The 17,147-nt window shown below is 42.8% G+C and overlaps 1 protein-coding gene across 5 annotated transcripts in view, besides 7 other annotated features; it reads right to left on the bottom strand.

Annotated features, from left to right (window-relative positions):
• The window catches only part of PRTG (protogenin), a 131,609-nt gene extending 121,327 nt beyond the window's left edge, over nt 1-10,282 (bottom strand). For 4 of the 5 annotated variants that reach the window (NM_173814.6, XM_017022082.3, XM_011521460.3 and 1 more), the window contains exons 1-2: nt 9,968-10,282; nt 7,512-7,814 (exon numbers count right to left, since the gene is read on the bottom strand). In NM_173814.6, coding sequence (NP_776175.2) covers nt 7,512-7,814; nt 9,968-10,061 — 397 coding nt within the window. In that variant the 5' untranslated portion in view covers nt 10,062-10,282. Of the gene's footprint in view, nt 1-7,511; nt 7,815-9,295; nt 9,438-9,967 lie in introns of those variants that run through there. The other variant, XM_017022081.3, reaches the window with a different exon arrangement.
• Nucleotides 3,044-3,545: an enhancer, noted in NCBI's record as "NANOG hESC enhancer chr15:56028112-56028613 (GRCh37/hg19 assembly coordinates)". NCBI's record gives its function as "activates a minimal SCP1, AML or CMV promoter by ChIP-STARR-seq in naive H9 embryonic stem cells {active_cell/tissue: H9 hESC(naive)}" and the evidence as "EXISTENCE:reporter gene assay evidence [ECO:0000049][PMID:30033119]".
• Nucleotides 9,161-10,124: an enhancer, noted in NCBI's record as "OCT4-NANOG-H3K27ac hESC enhancer chr15:56034229-56035192 (GRCh37/hg19 assembly coordinates)". NCBI's record gives its function as "activates a minimal SCP1, AML or CMV promoter by ChIP-STARR-seq in primed H9 embryonic stem cells {active_cell/tissue: H9 hESC(primed)}" and the evidence as "EXISTENCE:reporter gene assay evidence [ECO:0000049][PMID:30033119]".
• Nucleotides 9,161-10,200: a biological region, named in NCBI's record as "OCT4-NANOG-H3K27ac hESC enhancer GRCh37_chr15:56034229-56035192".
• Nucleotides 9,961-10,020: a silencer, noted in NCBI's record as "silent region_6457". NCBI's record gives its function as "represses an Ori minimal core promoter by ATAC-STARR-seq in GM12878 lymphoblastoid cells {active_cell/tissue: GM12878}" and the evidence as "EXISTENCE:reporter gene assay evidence [ECO:0000049][PMID:35858748]".
• Nucleotides 10,051-10,200: a silencer, noted in NCBI's record as "silent region_6458". NCBI's record gives its function as "represses an Ori minimal core promoter by ATAC-STARR-seq in GM12878 lymphoblastoid cells {active_cell/tissue: GM12878}" and the evidence as "EXISTENCE:reporter gene assay evidence [ECO:0000049][PMID:35858748]".
• Nucleotides 11,015-11,516: an enhancer, noted in NCBI's record as "H3K4me1 hESC enhancer chr15:56036083-56036584 (GRCh37/hg19 assembly coordinates)". NCBI's record gives its function as "activates a minimal SCP1, AML or CMV promoter by ChIP-STARR-seq in primed H9 embryonic stem cells {active_cell/tissue: H9 hESC(primed)}" and the evidence as "EXISTENCE:reporter gene assay evidence [ECO:0000049][PMID:30033119]".
• Nucleotides 11,517-12,016: an enhancer, noted in NCBI's record as "H3K4me1 hESC enhancer chr15:56036585-56037084 (GRCh37/hg19 assembly coordinates)". NCBI's record gives its function as "activates a minimal SCP1, AML or CMV promoter by ChIP-STARR-seq in primed H9 embryonic stem cells {active_cell/tissue: H9 hESC(primed)}" and the evidence as "EXISTENCE:reporter gene assay evidence [ECO:0000049][PMID:30033119]".

The following is a 17,147-nucleotide window of genomic DNA, read 5'->3' on the forward strand; positions in this document are numbered from 1 at the left end:
GGTAGTAGGCCAAACACATTTTAAAAAAATATATACAACGCTTAAAAATAGTAAATGGTGGCTGGACGCAGTGGCTCATGCCTGTAATCTCAGCACTTTGGGAGGCTGAGGCGGGCAGACCACGAGGTCAAGAGATCGAGACCATTCTGGTCACATGGGGAAACCCCATCTCTACCAAAAATATAAAAATTAGCCGGGCATAGTGGCACGTGCCCATAGTCCCAGCTACTCAGGAGGCTGAGGCAGGAGAATCGCTTGAACCCGGGAGGCAGAGGTTGCAGTGAGCCGAGATTGCGCCACTGCACTCTAGCCTGGCAACAGAGCAAGACTCTGTCTCAAAAAATAGTAAATGGAGGCCAGGCGTGGTGGCTCACACCTGTAATCCCAGCATTTTGGGAGGCTGACTGAGGTGGTCAGATCACCTGAGGTTGGGAGTTCGAGACCAGCCTGACCAACGTGGAGAAACCCTGTCTCTACTAAAAATACAAAATTAGCCAGGCATGGTGGCGCATGCCTGTAATCCCAGCTACCTGGGAGGCTGAGGCATGAAAATTGCTTGAAACCCACAGGCGGAGGTTGTGGTGAACCAAGATCACACCATTGCACTCCAGCCTGGGCAACAAGAGCAAAACTCTGTCTCAAACAAAAAAAAAAAAAAAAAAAAAGTAAACGGAGCCCAAGCACGATGGTTCATGCCTATAATCCTGGCACTTTGGGAAACCAAGGTGGGAGGAATGCTTGAGCCCAGGAGTTCAAGGTCAGCCTGGGCAACATAGCAAGATCCTCTCTCTACAAAAAATTTAAAAATTAGCTGTGCATGGCGGCACGTGCCTGTAGCTCCAGCTACTCGGTAGACTGAAGAGGGAAAATCACTTGAGCCCAGGAGGTCCAGGCTGCAGGACGCCGTGACTGCACCACTGTACTCCAGCCTGGATGACAGAGCAAGACTCTGACTCAACAACAAAAACAACAACAACAACAACAACAAAAACAGCAAATCGTTCTCCAAGGAATACATTTAGCACTGCTACCACCAAAACAAGTAGAATATCAAGGATAAGATAGAAACAGTTAAAGTAACAAATTGTCCAACATCACTGGAAAGTGTTCTACTACTTTCGGAAACATCAGGGATTCTCAATCAGGAGTTATTTTGCCCCACAGTAGAACTTTCTTGGTTGTCACAACTGGAAGAGAGTCTATCGGTATTGGGAGGGTAGAGGCCAGGGATGCCGCTAACACTGCATACGACGCACAGGACAGCACCACAACAGAAAATTATCTGGCCCAAAATGTCAGTTGTGCCAAGGCTGAGATACCTAACTACCACAGGCAGAAATATCCTTTTTCTTTTTGGTAAATATTAGTAGAATGGAAGATAAGCCACTGAGTCAATCACATTCTGAGTAGTTTTAAAAGACTACAAAACTTTAAAAGGGTGACTCTGGAGGATTATTCCAAAAGAATATGATTTATTTAAAGTAGTCTGCATAAAACAGCAACATTAAGGGAAAAAAAAGCTGTCACACTGTTCTAGCTAAACTCCTAGGGATTTAATATTGCTTCAAGAAGTAAGCTTTAAAAAGAAAATTTTCTTTCTGTAAGTTTTAAGGACTAAATCCAATAAGGACACCAATTTGAAACCAGAGACCTGAACAATGATCACATTCTCTAACAGTTATTCATAATCTAGCCACTATAAATGCTAAAGCTATTTTATATATATATATAACATATATATGTATTATAAACACGAAAAAAGGGCAAATCCTCTGGAAACTGAAAAAACAAACATTTTTAAATTCATGCCTTCTGCTCAGTCTATAAGATTTTGGTTTTTAAACGCTCATCAAAAGTAGTTTCTGAGAACCAGAGGTTAAAAAAAAACACACAAGGAATGTAAAAGTCAGGAAAGTATTTGTCAGATTAGTGTCAGAGACCTTTGTGAGGATGACGCCTTTATCCTCTGCATACATATCCTTACAGCAGTTCACTTGGCTTCAGAATTAGAGCTGGTGAAGATAATTTGGTATGTTTTCTACCTTTTTTGTACACTGCAATTATCAATTGTTTACTGTGAGCTTGCTCTGCTCTGTGCAGCATACCATGTTAGGGCAACTGCAAATATTACTTAAATGATTACAACAGCATCTTCCTTTTCCTTTCTTATTTACCAAGATTAAAATGATGATTTTTTTAAAGATTTAATGAAGAGTCTGGGCACTGTAAACTCTCAAAAGTATTAAAATAGTCTTGACTGACAATGAAAACTTAATTTGGGAGGATTTTTATGATTTCTTTTAAAACATCTCAATAATCATAGCTGTTTTTAAATCCAAGTAGGATCCTCAACAAAATGCCTGACTTAACATTCTTTTTCATATAAATGGTAATTATCAGTTTAAATGCTTTAAATAATCAATTCTAACTGAGCAACCTTGTTCATGAGAGATAAAAATCATCTCTCAAAACTGCAGTCAAGAATATCGTGGTTTTCAAAAAGGTAACCTCAAATGTATTTTATTTATTAATTAAAATACTCCCTTAGCCTAAAACCCTGCTTAAAAGATTTGTTGCTTCCTATTATTTTAAATTGCTCTGGACTTCATCAATAGACCCAGCTGTTAAATTTGGGAGCAATGACAACAAATCCCAGAGCAAACGACCACTGAGAGTGAGATCCTTTCTTTAGAATAATCAGAGATAGTTGACAAAAAGGAGCCATACCAAATACCCTTTCAAAATTCCATTAAGAATCTGGACATAAATAAAACAAAATAAAATAAGTACATTTTTATACATCTTAAAGAAAATTCTAATTCTACCCCTCACTGGACCATGCTTTGCTAAAAAAAAAAAAAAAAAAAAAATTCCACCAACTTTGAAAAAAAGTGAGATAATGTTACAGGTTGCTGAAAATGAGAAATGATCCTCACTAATCTAGGGCAAAGTGAGAAAAACTGGTTCCATTACCCAGAGATTATCAGGCACCTGATAAACAGACTTTAAGTAGACAGACTTTAAGAACCAAATGTCATTCTAAAAAAGCCTGTAGAACTATATATGCAATTTCTACTTCCTTCACTTGACTTATGTAATATTGAGAGCCAATTTTAAGTTAAACATAACTTCTGAAACACACCTCCTCTTTTTAAAGGCGAATTTTTTTGGATCCCAGAAAACATCAACTGAACCTTATCTACAGTGTTGGCAGATTGGTTTCTCTACATACCTCAGTTCTGTTGGTTTGAGTTTTCCAAAATCAAATGACTTTTACTCATGTTTTAGCATTCTTGAATTAGGCCAGGTAACTGCTCACAGCTTGACTTCAAGTGAATAGGCACGCAGGTAAGAGACTCAGTCCTTTCCAGTGCCTACAGCTCTCAATAAAACAGTGACCGTGTAGCAAAGTCTTGCCTATTTCAGGTCCAGGATCATTAATAAAATCCAAAATCTAGCATATAGTCTCACAGTTCTTAGGTTCTCTTTTCAACGTATCACTTCCCCATCTTTTTTTTTTTAACATGACTCTTTATAAATGTTTTTAATATATTTTTAACTTCACATTTCAAAGACTTGGTATTATAATTTATGCATTACTTTTTAATACGCAAGCCTCACCCAAAGAACAGTTTTTCATGAATCCCACATAAACCCTCAAATTTCATCTTAACTTAAATTGATGTATGTTTTTATTAATAAAAAACCTATACCCTTTTAATGGAAACAACTACTACTACTTAAAAAGTTATAGAAATGCACCCCCAAACAACCTTACCAAAGGCAAACTCAACCTCAAAATTTTGGTTAAAAAATCATAAAGTTACAATAATTCCTATGCTCTTCCAGCTACAAAGGGTCACATAAAAAATTATTTTTTACCCAAGTGAACAGTCCTGGAAAATCAAAGAAATATAAGCTAGCTTTATGTTCTTTTTCCCTCTATCCTAAGACTTCAGTTTCCACCTTTTATGGAAAGGAAATAAACAACTAGCTTCCTGTTCAATCACTAGCTTACAGCCAGTCTTTTACACATCACAGAACACAACCCGCCTCCTCCTTTACTTCTCTCAAATGTCTCTTAATTTAAACTTGTTGAAACGTGAGACCATTTTACCACACTAATGCTTTCCTACGAAATTTATCTTACCTATTTCAACATTAAGAATACAAGAAAAGTCAAGATAACCATAGATCATTTCTTATTCCTAAAATATTTAAATTTAGATAACAAAGACTTAGTACCCATGAAAGTGAAAACTTGATTTGCTAAATTTAAAAATACTGAAATTTATAGGAAATGGTTTAATCTTCTGTTCTTGCTATTGTACACAGCTAGAAAAAGGGCATCCCATGTCACTCCTCTTTCTATTCCAATTACATGAAAATGTAAGGCCGCTAACACGGCTATTAATAAAAAGGATTATCTTTTTTTAAAGCTAAATATTACTTTAACCCTATACTTTCTTTTAAAAATGGGATGCCTTAGCAAAACTAAGTTAGATGAATTCTTTTGTGCTTGAATGAACAACAGGAAAGCAAAGCCTCCAGGCCTTTGGGGAGGAACCTTGTCCCTGCAGCCCTGCTCTGATGTGCTTGGGAGATAAGGCTCCATAGTGACACTTAAGGAAAGGCCTGTTCACATTTGAATTTCTGCATTCCTCAAGAACAATTCATGGCAATAACTAACTTTGCAGAAGAGCTACATGAAAGCTTTGGCCAATGAATGAGGGTCATCTGCTCTTTATCACAAGGGTAAACCTCATCCTGGCCAGTTTCTAACCTTTTAACCCTGTGAATTCCTAATTTACACATGAATAATGGAATTCTTGCCTAGAGTGCAACTTTCAGCTTCTAGTTCCTAAGTTTAGAGACCAAGACTTGATTGCCTGTGTGTTAAAAATCTAAAACTTGCACAGATTGAAGTTTTAGATTTCCAGGTGCTGTACTATTGTGCTTCTGTACAACCAAAAAAATATGCTTACTGACAAAATCCTTGACTAAGAAAAAAAACACACTTGTACCCTGCTGCTATCAATACCTAAAAGAGAACTAGCTTTAAAAACAAGGGGGAAAAGAAAACCAGAATGTCCACTTAATGCCTATTCTCTCTCTCTCTCTCTCTCTCTCTCTATATATATATATATATATATATACACACACACACACACACACACACACCACACACACTCTTCCTGTAAATATATATATATATATATATATTTACTCTGAACACAGGATAAAGGGATTTGAGCCTCCATCATCTAAATTTATTGCTTAGATATCAGAACTTTAATTTTAAAAATACATAAAATATAAAAACTTCACCACAACTGTCTGCAAAATCATTCACATGTAATTATTTATTATTAGTGATAATTTCTATAGAGATGCAAAAATCTAAAGATATTTAAAAAGCCAGTTCTGACATTTTGTTTGTTACACCTATCACACACCATTCACATTTTATTTATGAAGTTAGAAAGCTCTGTGTTTTTCCAAAAGTGTTTCTGGAAGCCCTAGGATTCTATCAGGCTTCTCAGGAGGTCCTGGAAACAATGTGTGGTCATGACAAATGCTTCATCTTCTCATGGCCTATCTGGCCACCTCCACTATGTACTCCCTATCCCTGAAAGATAAGATAAGTTACAGTTCCTGAAGATGAAAACACAGGATTCTACAAACTCTAAAAGGTGGGAAAATAACAACTCTATAGAACAAGTTTACATTGGACAAAAACTGAATGAACAGAATATAAGCATAAAAAGCACACTATCTTTAAAACAGTACTATACAGAAAAACCATTACTCCATGAAAAAAATAATTATTGGCCAATGATTACGGGGGAAGGAGGGAAGGAAGGCATGCAGGCAGGCAGAGGGAGGGAAGAGACAGGAAGAAGAGAGGGAGGGAGGGGGAGGAAGGTAGGGAGGAAGGAAGGAAGGAAGGGAGAGAAACAAGGAGGGAGAATGGTAGGCAGAGGAGGGGAGGGAAGGAAGGGACAGGAGGAAAAGACAGAGGAAGGAAGGGGGAAGGGAAGGGGGAGGGAGAAAGGAAGGAAGTAGGAAGGGAGGGAGAGGGAGGGGAGAGAGAGGAAGGAAGAAATGAAAAATCAGAAATCCTCTCAGGTTTATGCTGGTCTTTGGCAGGGGTAGGAGTGTGGCTAGAACCGCAAACCTCTGATTTTCTGATGTATCAATATAGAAATATCTTTGCTTGCAATTTATTTTCTACAATTAATCCTTATTGCAGAATAAAATAGTTAATATAAGGATGGCATAAATGGACCATGAACAGTAAAGTCACCTAGGAAATTCCTGCCAATAGCTTCCTAAATTTCAATTGTATAGAACTTGAAACTACTATTTCCTAAATATTATGGTGGTTTTGTATTTTTTTTTTTTTTTCCTTAAAGAGATGGAGTCTCACTATTTCCCAGGCTGGACTCAAACTCCAGGGCTCAAGGAATCTTCCTGCTTCAGCCTCCTCAATAGCTGGGATTACAGGCTAGCCACCAGCCCAGCTAAGATTATGCCTTTATCTCAAGAATGCCATCTACCTATTGCTCAACTTGTAAATGATCAATTTGTAGGTATAGTGCGAAATCTATGCTTTGTGGATTAACAAAAAGCATGCAGGTCAAATGCCTTAAAACTTTTAAGATTCAATTTTGGTTTTCGAGATTTAGTCTGTTAATCTTGAGAGCTGCGTGTTTCATCACCTGAAAAAGATGTAAAGCCTCAGTGGGCATAAGGAGTTCAGTACTTGTCCTAGGCCTATCTTTACACGCAACAGTTACAGGTCAACCACCAAGCAATGGATCACTTGGACAAATGGTTGATCTGATGGGGATGTTAATACAAAAGAAATCATTAGATAGCACACTTTATGACAAAAGGGAAAAAGTGAGCAGATATGGGTTTAAGTCCATTAGGCATAATATGGAAATGGCCTTAATCTCTTTCCCTCCCAGCAGGAAAAGACTAGGAATACTTCAAAGGCTTAAGAGTGACTGACCAATGCCCTCTCATACAATTAAAAGGCAACATGGGTGATCTAAAAGCAGTCAGAGAAATGGAAGCCTGTGCTATAAGAAAGATTTAGCACTCAAGAACCATCTGCAAAGCAGAACAATTTGCTTGTGATTGTTTTCATTAATTACTAATTTCCATAAGATTAAATTTTAGAACAACTTTTGTTGCGTTGGCCAAACTTCTACATCCAACTCTTCATACTTCGTGAAATGCTTAAAATTTTTATAAAGCCACCTCTACAGGTTTCATTTTACTTGGTGTTCTAAACCTAATTTGACTTCTGTTCTCAATTACTCATTTGAATTTATATACGTATTTTTTTCAGATTTCTCTATATGCCTCAGTTAGCATCAACTATTATCTCCAGTAAAATTCTTAATGCATGCATGATTCGGGGGATTATTATATTAATAAAGCAAGAAATCATCAAAATGTAGCAATGAAAAATGTCAACAACTAAAAACTTAAACACTTACTTGATAAGGCAAGATGAGCTTTTTGACTAAGAATGGCTCCATATTTGTTCATTGCCAAGCACTGATAAAATCCTTCATCGGACTGCTCTCCTCGCCTGCCTTCCACCTCACTGATGTATAAAGAGCCGTTAGAAAGAACCTCGATCCGTTTATTTTCAGACATTTTTGCTCCATTTTTCAACCATGTGACCTTAATAGGAACTTCTCCGTGAGCCTGGCAATCTAAAACGACTGGGTCCTTTCTTGTGACAGTTACATCCTGTGGTTCTTTTACAAAAGACAGTTCGCTAAAGCACCACACTCCTATAAGGAAAAAAAAGGAGAACGGCACATCCAGAATTACAGGCATAAAATGATTCCTTAACACACAACTGTAAAACACATATTCAGGGTATGAGATGACGAAGTTTAATAAATTTTATTAGTTAACTTACAAACACCTTAATGAACCAATCTAAATTTCAGCAAACTCTTTCAACAAGTCGGAGAAATCACTTTTTACATCTTCACTAAAAGCATAGGGAAGATTTCAATAACTTCTATGCTTTGTATAAATTCTGCTCTCAAGTTCCTTGCTAGAGTTTCAAAATCATCAGGAAAACTCATGAGCACAAGCTGTTTGCTTTTACAAGCTTGTCAAAAAGATCTTGAACAGAGTAAGTCGTAAAAGTCTAATTTTACAAGAAATCATTAGCAAAACTCCAACTCTGTGAACAAGCAAGTTTATTTCCTTGTCCCTTGAAGTGTTTTTGGAACCCGTGGCACCTACTCCTTTGGGAACTGCGTTTATCTTTTGTGACAAATTACAAGTTTGCATTTTTCTATCTGCCCTTTTACAGCAGGGACTCTATCTCCTCTCCTTGAAAGAAATCCATTTACTTAATTTCTGCAAAGCAAGCTAGGTATTTAAAAGACAAACAATAGACTTTGAAAAGTTGGTAACTCTTGCTGCTTGTACTCAGTGGGTGATCGGATTAAGAAACTTTTATTTCACTTTTCTAGAACTACCAACTGTTGGAAAAAATGCGTGACTAATTGGTCCTTACTGTCTAATAGGGATAGGAGATCGCTTAATCAACCAATACACATTTTTATCAGAGCAGAGGAAAGGCTTTATCCTAAGCATATACACATCGCCCCTGGGCCCTCGCCAGGATAAAGCATTCGATGACCATACAATACTCTGTCACCTCCTGCATTTAGTGCACAGGCCGTCTTAAAGTCTCACGTATTGATTGGGGGTGAATGGAGAATGGGGGTGTGTGGGGGAAGCGTTGCTTCACCTTCCTCCTGATCGTTGTGGATCCTTGATTACAAACCCCCAGAAATGATTTGTTTCTCCTCAAGGCAGGTCCTCGGAATACTCACTCTTCAAGGCTCCCTGCTTCCCGTAATGTATGCCCAGGGCGACGCGAGCCACCCTAACAGCCCAGCGCTGTGCGCGGACCACTCCGGAAGGCGCCCATTGTGTTTCTGAGCCACATCTGACTTTGATCCTTTTTTCAAGCCTAACAGAAACTAACCCCATTGCAGAAAAAGCCTAGCGTCTGTAACCTGCAAATAAATAAAATAACCCATTCTCCTGAACACCTCTCCTACCGTCACCCCATTCACTTTACACTTTTATCTCTTCTAGGAAACCAATACGGACGCAAGGTAGAAAAACGAGTTCATCCAAGTTTGTGCAAGGCAAATCTAGAATTTGGAAGAATCTTCAGAGCCGTACACACTTCAGGCCCTGCCCCCAAATACCTAGCTGTAGGAGATAAATCCTATTTACCTACCTTCCTTTTCAGCTTCGGGGACTTTTCCCCCCTCCTTTCCGGGGCACAAATCGGCCACTTCACTTCCAACCCTGCCAATTCCACCCTCCCATCTCCTCCTGGCTGGATCCAGATCCGGCAAGCTGGTGCCGATTGGGGTTATGAGTTCACCTATTCCCTCTCGCAGCCCTAAAAAGTGGGGGAACTCCCACAACAGACACGGGAAGCCGCGAGGAACCGCGGCGCCCCCTGCACGGCGAGGCTGCCACTAAGGAAACAATATAAATAAAGCCACGTGCAGCCGCGGCGGCCCCGGCGGGCTGGCGACCCGGAGTCCGGCCGGTCGCGGAGGCGCGGACGCGGCCGGAGCCGGGACAATGGCGCGAGAAGGAAGAGACCAGAGTGGACAGCGGCCGCCAGAACTCCGCAGCCACGGGCGCGCGGCGCGGAGGGGCGTGCGCCCGGAGAAGCTCCCGCAGCCCTGCCCAAGCAGCGCAGAGGCCGCAAGCAACTAGTGTCTGCAGCTGGCGGTTCCGGACAGGCCGCAGGGCGAGAGCGGGGGCCGGGGGTCAGCGCCACCACGGAGGACCCCGCCGCGCGCTCCCCACGCCCCATCGTTTCCTCTTTCCCCATCCCACTCGCGCCCGCTCCCGCCCCACAGCGGTAAGAGAAAGCAGAAGAAAGCGCGCCCACCTGGCAAAGGACTGAGCAGCAGCAGGAGCAGGAGCGCGCGGAGCAGCATCCCCGGCGGTCGCAGCCGGGCGAGGGGTCGCAGAGGAGGCGCCATTCAGCGTAGCCGCGCGGGCATGCTCCCCGGCCGCCCAGAGCCCCTGTCCGTCTGCGGCCCCCGCCCCGGGCGCTCTCTGCTCTGCGGCTGGTCGCACGCAGCCTGGCTCCCCGCTCCGGCTCCGGCACCGGCGTGGCGAGCGTCTCTGCGGCGGCGAGGCTGGTGCTCGGACGGCCGCTCGCGAGAAGCAAGGGGCCTGAGAGTCCGGCTGGGGGCGGAGTGAGGCGGCGGCTGCAGAGGGCGGGGGCGGCGGAGTGGACAGCGCCGCGGCCGCGGGCCTGGGACTACTTTCTACATCTGGCCCTTGGTCTGGGCCAGGGAGGTCGGCGCGGCCGGCGGAGGGAGACGCTGGGAGGGGGCCAGTGGCGGCCGGGTCGGAGCCCTGGGGGAAGGGTACGGGTCCCGCCGGACAATGCACCTGGGGGTCAAGCCCCGGCTGAGGGTCTCCGGCCCGCGTCCCCGCCCCCTCTGCCTCCGCGCCACCGTCGGGGACAGAGCCACAAAGGCCGAGCCTCCTGGCCCAGCCAGCCTCCGGGGCCCCCCTCCCGCGGCTAGTTGAGGATTGGGGAAGGGGAGGCGGCCGGGGAGGGCTAGTGTTGAGAGACAGGGAAAGGCCGGAGGCTTCTCCCTTGATGGCCCCCGCCCACCCCCTCCTACACCCTCCTACCCTCACACGCAGAGGCCCGGTGCAGGGAAATCTCACTCTTTCTCACTTCAGAGATTTGTCTGCTCCACTGGAGGCATCTCCGGATGATAAGCCCCCGGAGATGCCCCCTGCATTTGGGCACGGCTCTTCTTCTCCCTGCCCCCATTAGATGCAGCGCGGGCTTAAAAATATCTCCGAAGAGTGGTCTCAAATGAACAATCGCCTTTAGGGGGAGAGGGTTTATTATCTTTTCTTCAAGTTAGTCAAGTTCTTTAATTTGTGAGAACTGTGCACACAAAAGGCTCTGTCCTGAGAGCAGAGGCGAGATCAAGAGATTTGTAGATTCTGTGAGCTTGCTATGGGGGAGCAGGCTTTGATAGATTACTTGGTTATAAATTAAACTAAGACACAAATGTGAATTTGTTCACATCTAAGTTTAATTAAGGATAACAGGAGTTAAAACGTACATTTAAAGAATGTAATCAGATTGCTAAGCGTGTGGATCATAGCGTTTACATGTGGATTAACATTTGCTAATCCAAAACTGAATCTGTGGCACATGATGAGGGCACAGGCTAAAAGCTAGCCTTCATGAAAGCTGCTGATGGAAATCTAGCTTTGGTTACCACGACATCAACACACTTACTGCCTTTAGCACGTTCCAGAAATCCTCCTGGGACGGTGCGGTGGCTCATATTTGTAATCCCAGTACTTTGGGAGACCGGGGCGGGCGGATCACTTGAGGTCAGGAGTTCGGGACCAACCTGGGCAACATAGGGAGACCGCCCCCGTCTCTACACACCACTGACCCCCGTACCCCCAAAACTTAGCCGCTCCAGTAGTCCCAGCTACTTGGGAGGCTGGGGTGGGAGGATCACTTGAGACCAGAAGTCGAGGCTGGGGTGAGCTATGATCAGGCCACTGCACTCCAGCCTGTTTCCAATAAGTGAGTAAATAAACCCTCCTGATGAAGAAGTAGTGAAAAAAAATAGTTTAGAACATTAGGATAGCACTACCTTTCCCCCTTAAGCTCATTATAGTAAGGAACAGCCTATTTAGCAATTTCAACTTAACTGCATGTAAAACAGTAATATCCTTGGTATGTTGCTTCCAAAACTGTATTTGAAACTTAAATGAATTTGGACTATTTCTAAGCATCAGAATAAAGGTATGTGGGAAGGGAAAACGTTGAGAGGTAATAAAACGAAACATTTGCAAGTACGTTTTCAATTTCTGATAATTCAAATTTATACAAAATGATATTCCTGTTTGCCATTAGACTATTTTTTTCATTGTATCACATTCTCCCCCTTCCCCTTCTCCCTGTTCCCTTTTAGTCGATCCCAAGTGCTTATATTTCCTGAATAACACAGTACATGTCTGCTTGGACACTTACATTTTCTCTCATGTATAATACTTGTCTTATATCATGTACTAGGCTACATAAGCTATTTAAGGACTTGTTATCTAGTTCTGTGATGCCCCACAATTTCCATCCAGCAGAGTATCTTGCATATAGTGTGTAATACTGAGGTAGTTAAAAGTCTGGTTTTTGGTATCTAACAGACTAGCATTCAAATTTTTGCATTATATAGACAAGTCACTCGTGCACTCAGACCTAATTCAGGTAATGGAAATAAGAATAGTATTGATGGGCGCCAGGCACGGTGGCTCACGCCTGTAATCCCACCACCTTGCGGCCAAGGTGAGTGGATCACCTGAGGTCAGGAGTTCAAGACCAGCCTGGCCAACATGGTGAAACCCGTCCATACTAAAAATACAAAAGTTAATTGGTGGTGGCACGCACCTGTAGTCCCAGCTACTCGGGAAGTTGAGGCAGGAGAATCGCTTGAACCCGGGAGCCAGAGGCTGCAGTGAGCTGAAATTGTGCCACTGTACTCCAGCCTGGGCGACAGAGCGAGACTTCATCTCAAAAAAAAAAAAAAAAAAAAGAACTGAAGAATACTGATGGGCTGCTGTGATATAAAATGATGCATGCATGGAAAATACCTGGTGCATAGCTCTATAAATAATTGCCATTATTATATTTAGTAAATAAATATTCCCAATAGTGGCAAATCTTTGTCCTTTCAGAGTGGGCTTGATATTGAAAAGTTTTTAGGAGTCAAAGCTGATTAATTTGTTTGGTGATTATGCTGATGGTGACTCTCGTGACTTCTTTCAGTAGTTTCTAAGCTGGTCCTGAAAGAGGTTAGAAGTGCCTGAGTGTCTAACTTCCCAAAGCTACCCATCTGGAGGATAAATGTTGAGATAAACAACTACCTAAGCCCTATTTTGCTTTCATATTCCAAAACAATTATTTTTAGACCAGAAAGAGTAGAGTCTATATAGTTAAAGAGAACTGAAATCTGAGGGTAGGTTTAAAATAAATATACAGAATTATTTCTTTAACAAATTCAAGTCTATGTCCCAACTCTGAGGGGAAAAAAATCACGTAACTTCACCCATCAAATTATAGAGCTGTAGCAAATATCTTCAAGCCCTTTGACCTCTCAACATTATCTGGTTCTATGAAATCACAAGGCCATTTGCAGGAGTTTATGAATCACAGTGGCAAAAGACAGCAAAAGTCTAGTGAGTTGTTCAATTTTTCATTTAACAAATAATTATTGAGCTCCTACTATGATGATTAGAAGACCAAGCCCTGATGAGGATTACCTGCCACTATATTCACATTTCAGTAATCACTCCTGATGAGCTTAATATTTGTCATCAGAAATATTTTGAAATTGGTTATTTTAAAAGTGAGGCCGGGCGCAGTGGTTCACGCCTGTAATCCCAGCACTTTGGGAGGCCGAGGCGGGTGGATCACGAGGTCAGGAGATCGACACCATGGTGAAACTCAGTCTCTACTAAAAATACAAAAAATTAGCGGGGCACATTGATGGGCACCTGTAGTCCCAGCTACTTGGGAGGCTGAGGCAGGAGAATGGTGTGAACCCAGGAGGCAGAGCTTGCAGTGAGCCAAGATCGCGCCACTGCACTCCAGCCTGGGCAACAGAGCAGGACTCCATCTCAAAAAAAAAAAAAAAAAAAGAAGCTCCTGGCTGACCAGGCTGAGGCCCGAAGGTCTAAGACCAAGGAAGCACGCAAGCGCCATAAAGAGTGCCTCCAAGCCAAGAAGGAGAAGATCACCAAGACTTTGTTCAAGGAGGAAGAGACCAAGAAATAAAACCTCCCCCTTTGTCTGTACATACTAGCCTCCATGATTACATAGTTCAGTTATTAAAACAAAACAAGCCTTTATCTACAAAGAAAAGAAAAATATAAATAAAAACAAAAGTGAGTTGTAACTGTTGGGATTGTAAAATGGTGCAACTGCTATGGAAAACAGTATGGAGTTACTTAAAAAAAAAAGTTAAAAATAGGCCAAGCACGGTGGCTCACACCTGTAATCCCAGCACTTTGGTAGTGCGAGACAGGTGCATCACGTGAGGTCAGGAGTTCAAGACCAGCCTGACCAACATGATGAAACCCCATCTCTACTAAAAATACAAAAACAATTAGGCGGGCATGGTGGCAAATGCCTGCAGTCTCAGCTACACAAGAGGCTGAGTCACGAGAATCACTGGAACCCAGGAGGCAGAGGTTGCAGTGAGCTGAGGTTGCACCACTGCCCTCCAACCTGGGTGACAAAGCAAGACTCCATCTCAAAAAAAAAAAAAAAAATAAGAGGGGCTGGGTGCAGTGGCATGTGCCTGTAGTCCCAGCTATTGAGGAGGCTGAAGAAGGAAGATCACTTGAGGCCAAGAGTTTGAGGCTGGCCTGGACAATACGGTGAGGCCCTGTCTCTAAAAATGAACAAATAAACAAAATAAAAATTATTGATGGTAAATTTATGTTATGTATTTTTTACCACAATAAAAATAATTGCACATAAATGCATAGGAAATGCAGTGATGGAGGCTATGCATGGTGGGTCATGCCTGTAATCCCAGCACTTTGGGAGGCCAAGGCGGGCGGATTGCCTGAGGTCAGGAGTTCAAGACCAGCCTGACCAACAGTGAAACCCCGTCTGTACTAAAAATACAAAAATTGCAGGGCACGGTGGCTCATGCCTGTAATCCCAGCACTTTGGGAGGCCGAGGCACGGGGATCATGAGGTCAGGAGATCGAGACCATCCTGGCTAACATGGTGAAACCCTGTCTCTACTAAAAAATACAAAAAATTAGCCAGGCGTGGTGGCGGGCGCCTGTAGTCCCAGCTACTCTGGAGGCTGAGGCAGGAGAATGCGTGAACCGGGAGGCGGAGCTTGCAGTGAGCCAAGATCAAGCCACTGCACTCCAGCCTGGGCGACAGAGCGAGACACCATCTCAAATAATAATAATAATAAAAATAAAAATACAAAAATTAGCCGGGTGTGGTGGCACACACCTGTAGTCCTAGCTTCTTGGGAGGCTCAGGGAGGAGAATCACTTGAACTGGGAGGCAGAGATTGCAGTGAGTCGAGACTACACCATTGCACCCCAGCCTGGGTGACAGAATGAGATTCCATCTCAAAAAAAAAAAAATTATCTAGGTGTAGTGGCACCTGCCTGTAATCCCACCCACTCGGGAGGCTGAGACAAGAGAATCGCTTGAACTCAGGAGGCAGAGGTTGCAGTGAACCCAGATTGTGTCATTGCACCATTGCACTCCAGCTGGGCAACAGGAGCAAAACTCCGTCAAAAAAAAAAAAAAAAAAGAAAGAAAAGAAAAGAAAATGGAAAAGCAAAACATTTTCATTTCAACAAGACATTTGACCACTCAAATCTCATGATATTCTTAAGCATTAGATGAATAAATATTGATTGAGTACTAAAGGGATTATGCAAGATAACATCGGATGGAAGCTCCTATTCGCTCCCACTCAAAAACTCTCTGTTGCCAAGTACCTCCCTGGAACCTTTTAAAAATCCACTCTCCATTAAGTTTCTCTTGCTGCTGCCCATGTTTCAGCTCTCAGTGCCTCTCGTCTGAGCCATTGCATTAGAATGGGCTCTCAATAGACTTCCAACCAAACTTCCAATCTTTTCATATGCCTATCCATGTTTATAGTTGCTACCAGGTGAATTTTCCTGTGATACAGTGTTTCTGCTGATCAAAATCTTTCACAGCCTCATTACCTGTAAAATGTCCTCTTTGCCTATAAAATGACAAAGTGTTCATTACAAACTTCTTAATTCTAAGGACCCTCTGATCTGCTCCCAAACTACCATTACAACTGTACAGTCAATTTTTCCCTATATGTATTAAACACTCAGGCCAGGGTGAGCTATCTGGTGTTTTCCTAACAGCACTTGAATTGTCCTGACTCTGAGCCTTTGCAGGGTCTCTTCCCTAAACTTAAATACTCCCCTTACCCTTCACACCCATACTGACATTGAGACCTTTCCAAATCTTAATATATTTTCAGGGACAGTGCAGATCTGATTTTATCTGAAATCTTACTGTACTTTTGTGGCACAGAACTTGTAAGTATTTTATCGCGAGCCAGTAAGCATCTTGAGATCACAAATCATACCTAATCCACCTTTGTGTTATTCACAATGTGAAGGACATTGCCTTGCAGTTATTAAGAATTGAATAGATCTTCGCTGACTAAAGGAATAATGAATTACTGTACCAAAATGCTGATTAAATAGATGGAGAGCAATTGGGAGAAAACTCTCTGGAAGAGGATTACAAAGTCCTGTATTTGGGGTTTTCTTTGTCTAGTCTACATTTATTATCATGAGCTTAAGGACATGTTTATCTGATTTTGCATTTAACACAATGTGTAATTAATATGTTACATGGGCTGGGCGTGATGGCTCACGCCTGTAATCCCAGCACTTTGGGAGGCCAAGACAGGTGGATCACCTGAGGTCAGGAGTTTGAGACCATCCTGGCCAGTATGGTGAAACCTCATCTCTACTGAAAATACAAAAATTAGCCAGGTGTGGTGGTAAATGCCTGTACTCCCAGCTACTCGGAAGGCTGAGGCAGGAGAATCACGTGAACACAGGAGGCGGAGGTTGCAGTGAGTCGAGAGCGTGTCACTGCACTCCAGCCTGGGCAACAGAGCGAGACTCCATCTCAAAAAAAAAAAAAAAAAACGTTACATAGAATGAGAGTTTTCTCCACTCCTGGTAGTTGTCTAGGAAGTTGGAGACTAAGAAAAGAGGTCCTGAGGGACTCCTCAAGTGAAGATGAGGAGTACAACAATTTCCAACAGAGAGGAAGAGAGGAGGAAACAGGAGCCAGAAGTAATTCAGGCACCAGAGATGAAGGGGCAGGAAAAGAGAAGTGATGAAGGGTGTGCAGAGGGGAGCACAGGACGTTTAGAACTAAGGCCAAGGGCACTGGGCATCCCTGTGGACGTATGCCAGCAATGGGAAGAGTCTTAGAGGAACAGCTGAGGGCTGGCCACAGTCACTCATTCAACAAAGTTCTGAGC

Source organism: Homo sapiens, chromosome 15 (genome assembly GCF_000001405.40).
Source record: "Homo sapiens chromosome 15, GRCh38.p14 Primary Assembly".
In the NCBI taxonomy this organism is placed as follows: Eukaryota; Metazoa; Chordata; class Mammalia; order Primates; family Hominidae; genus Homo; species Homo sapiens.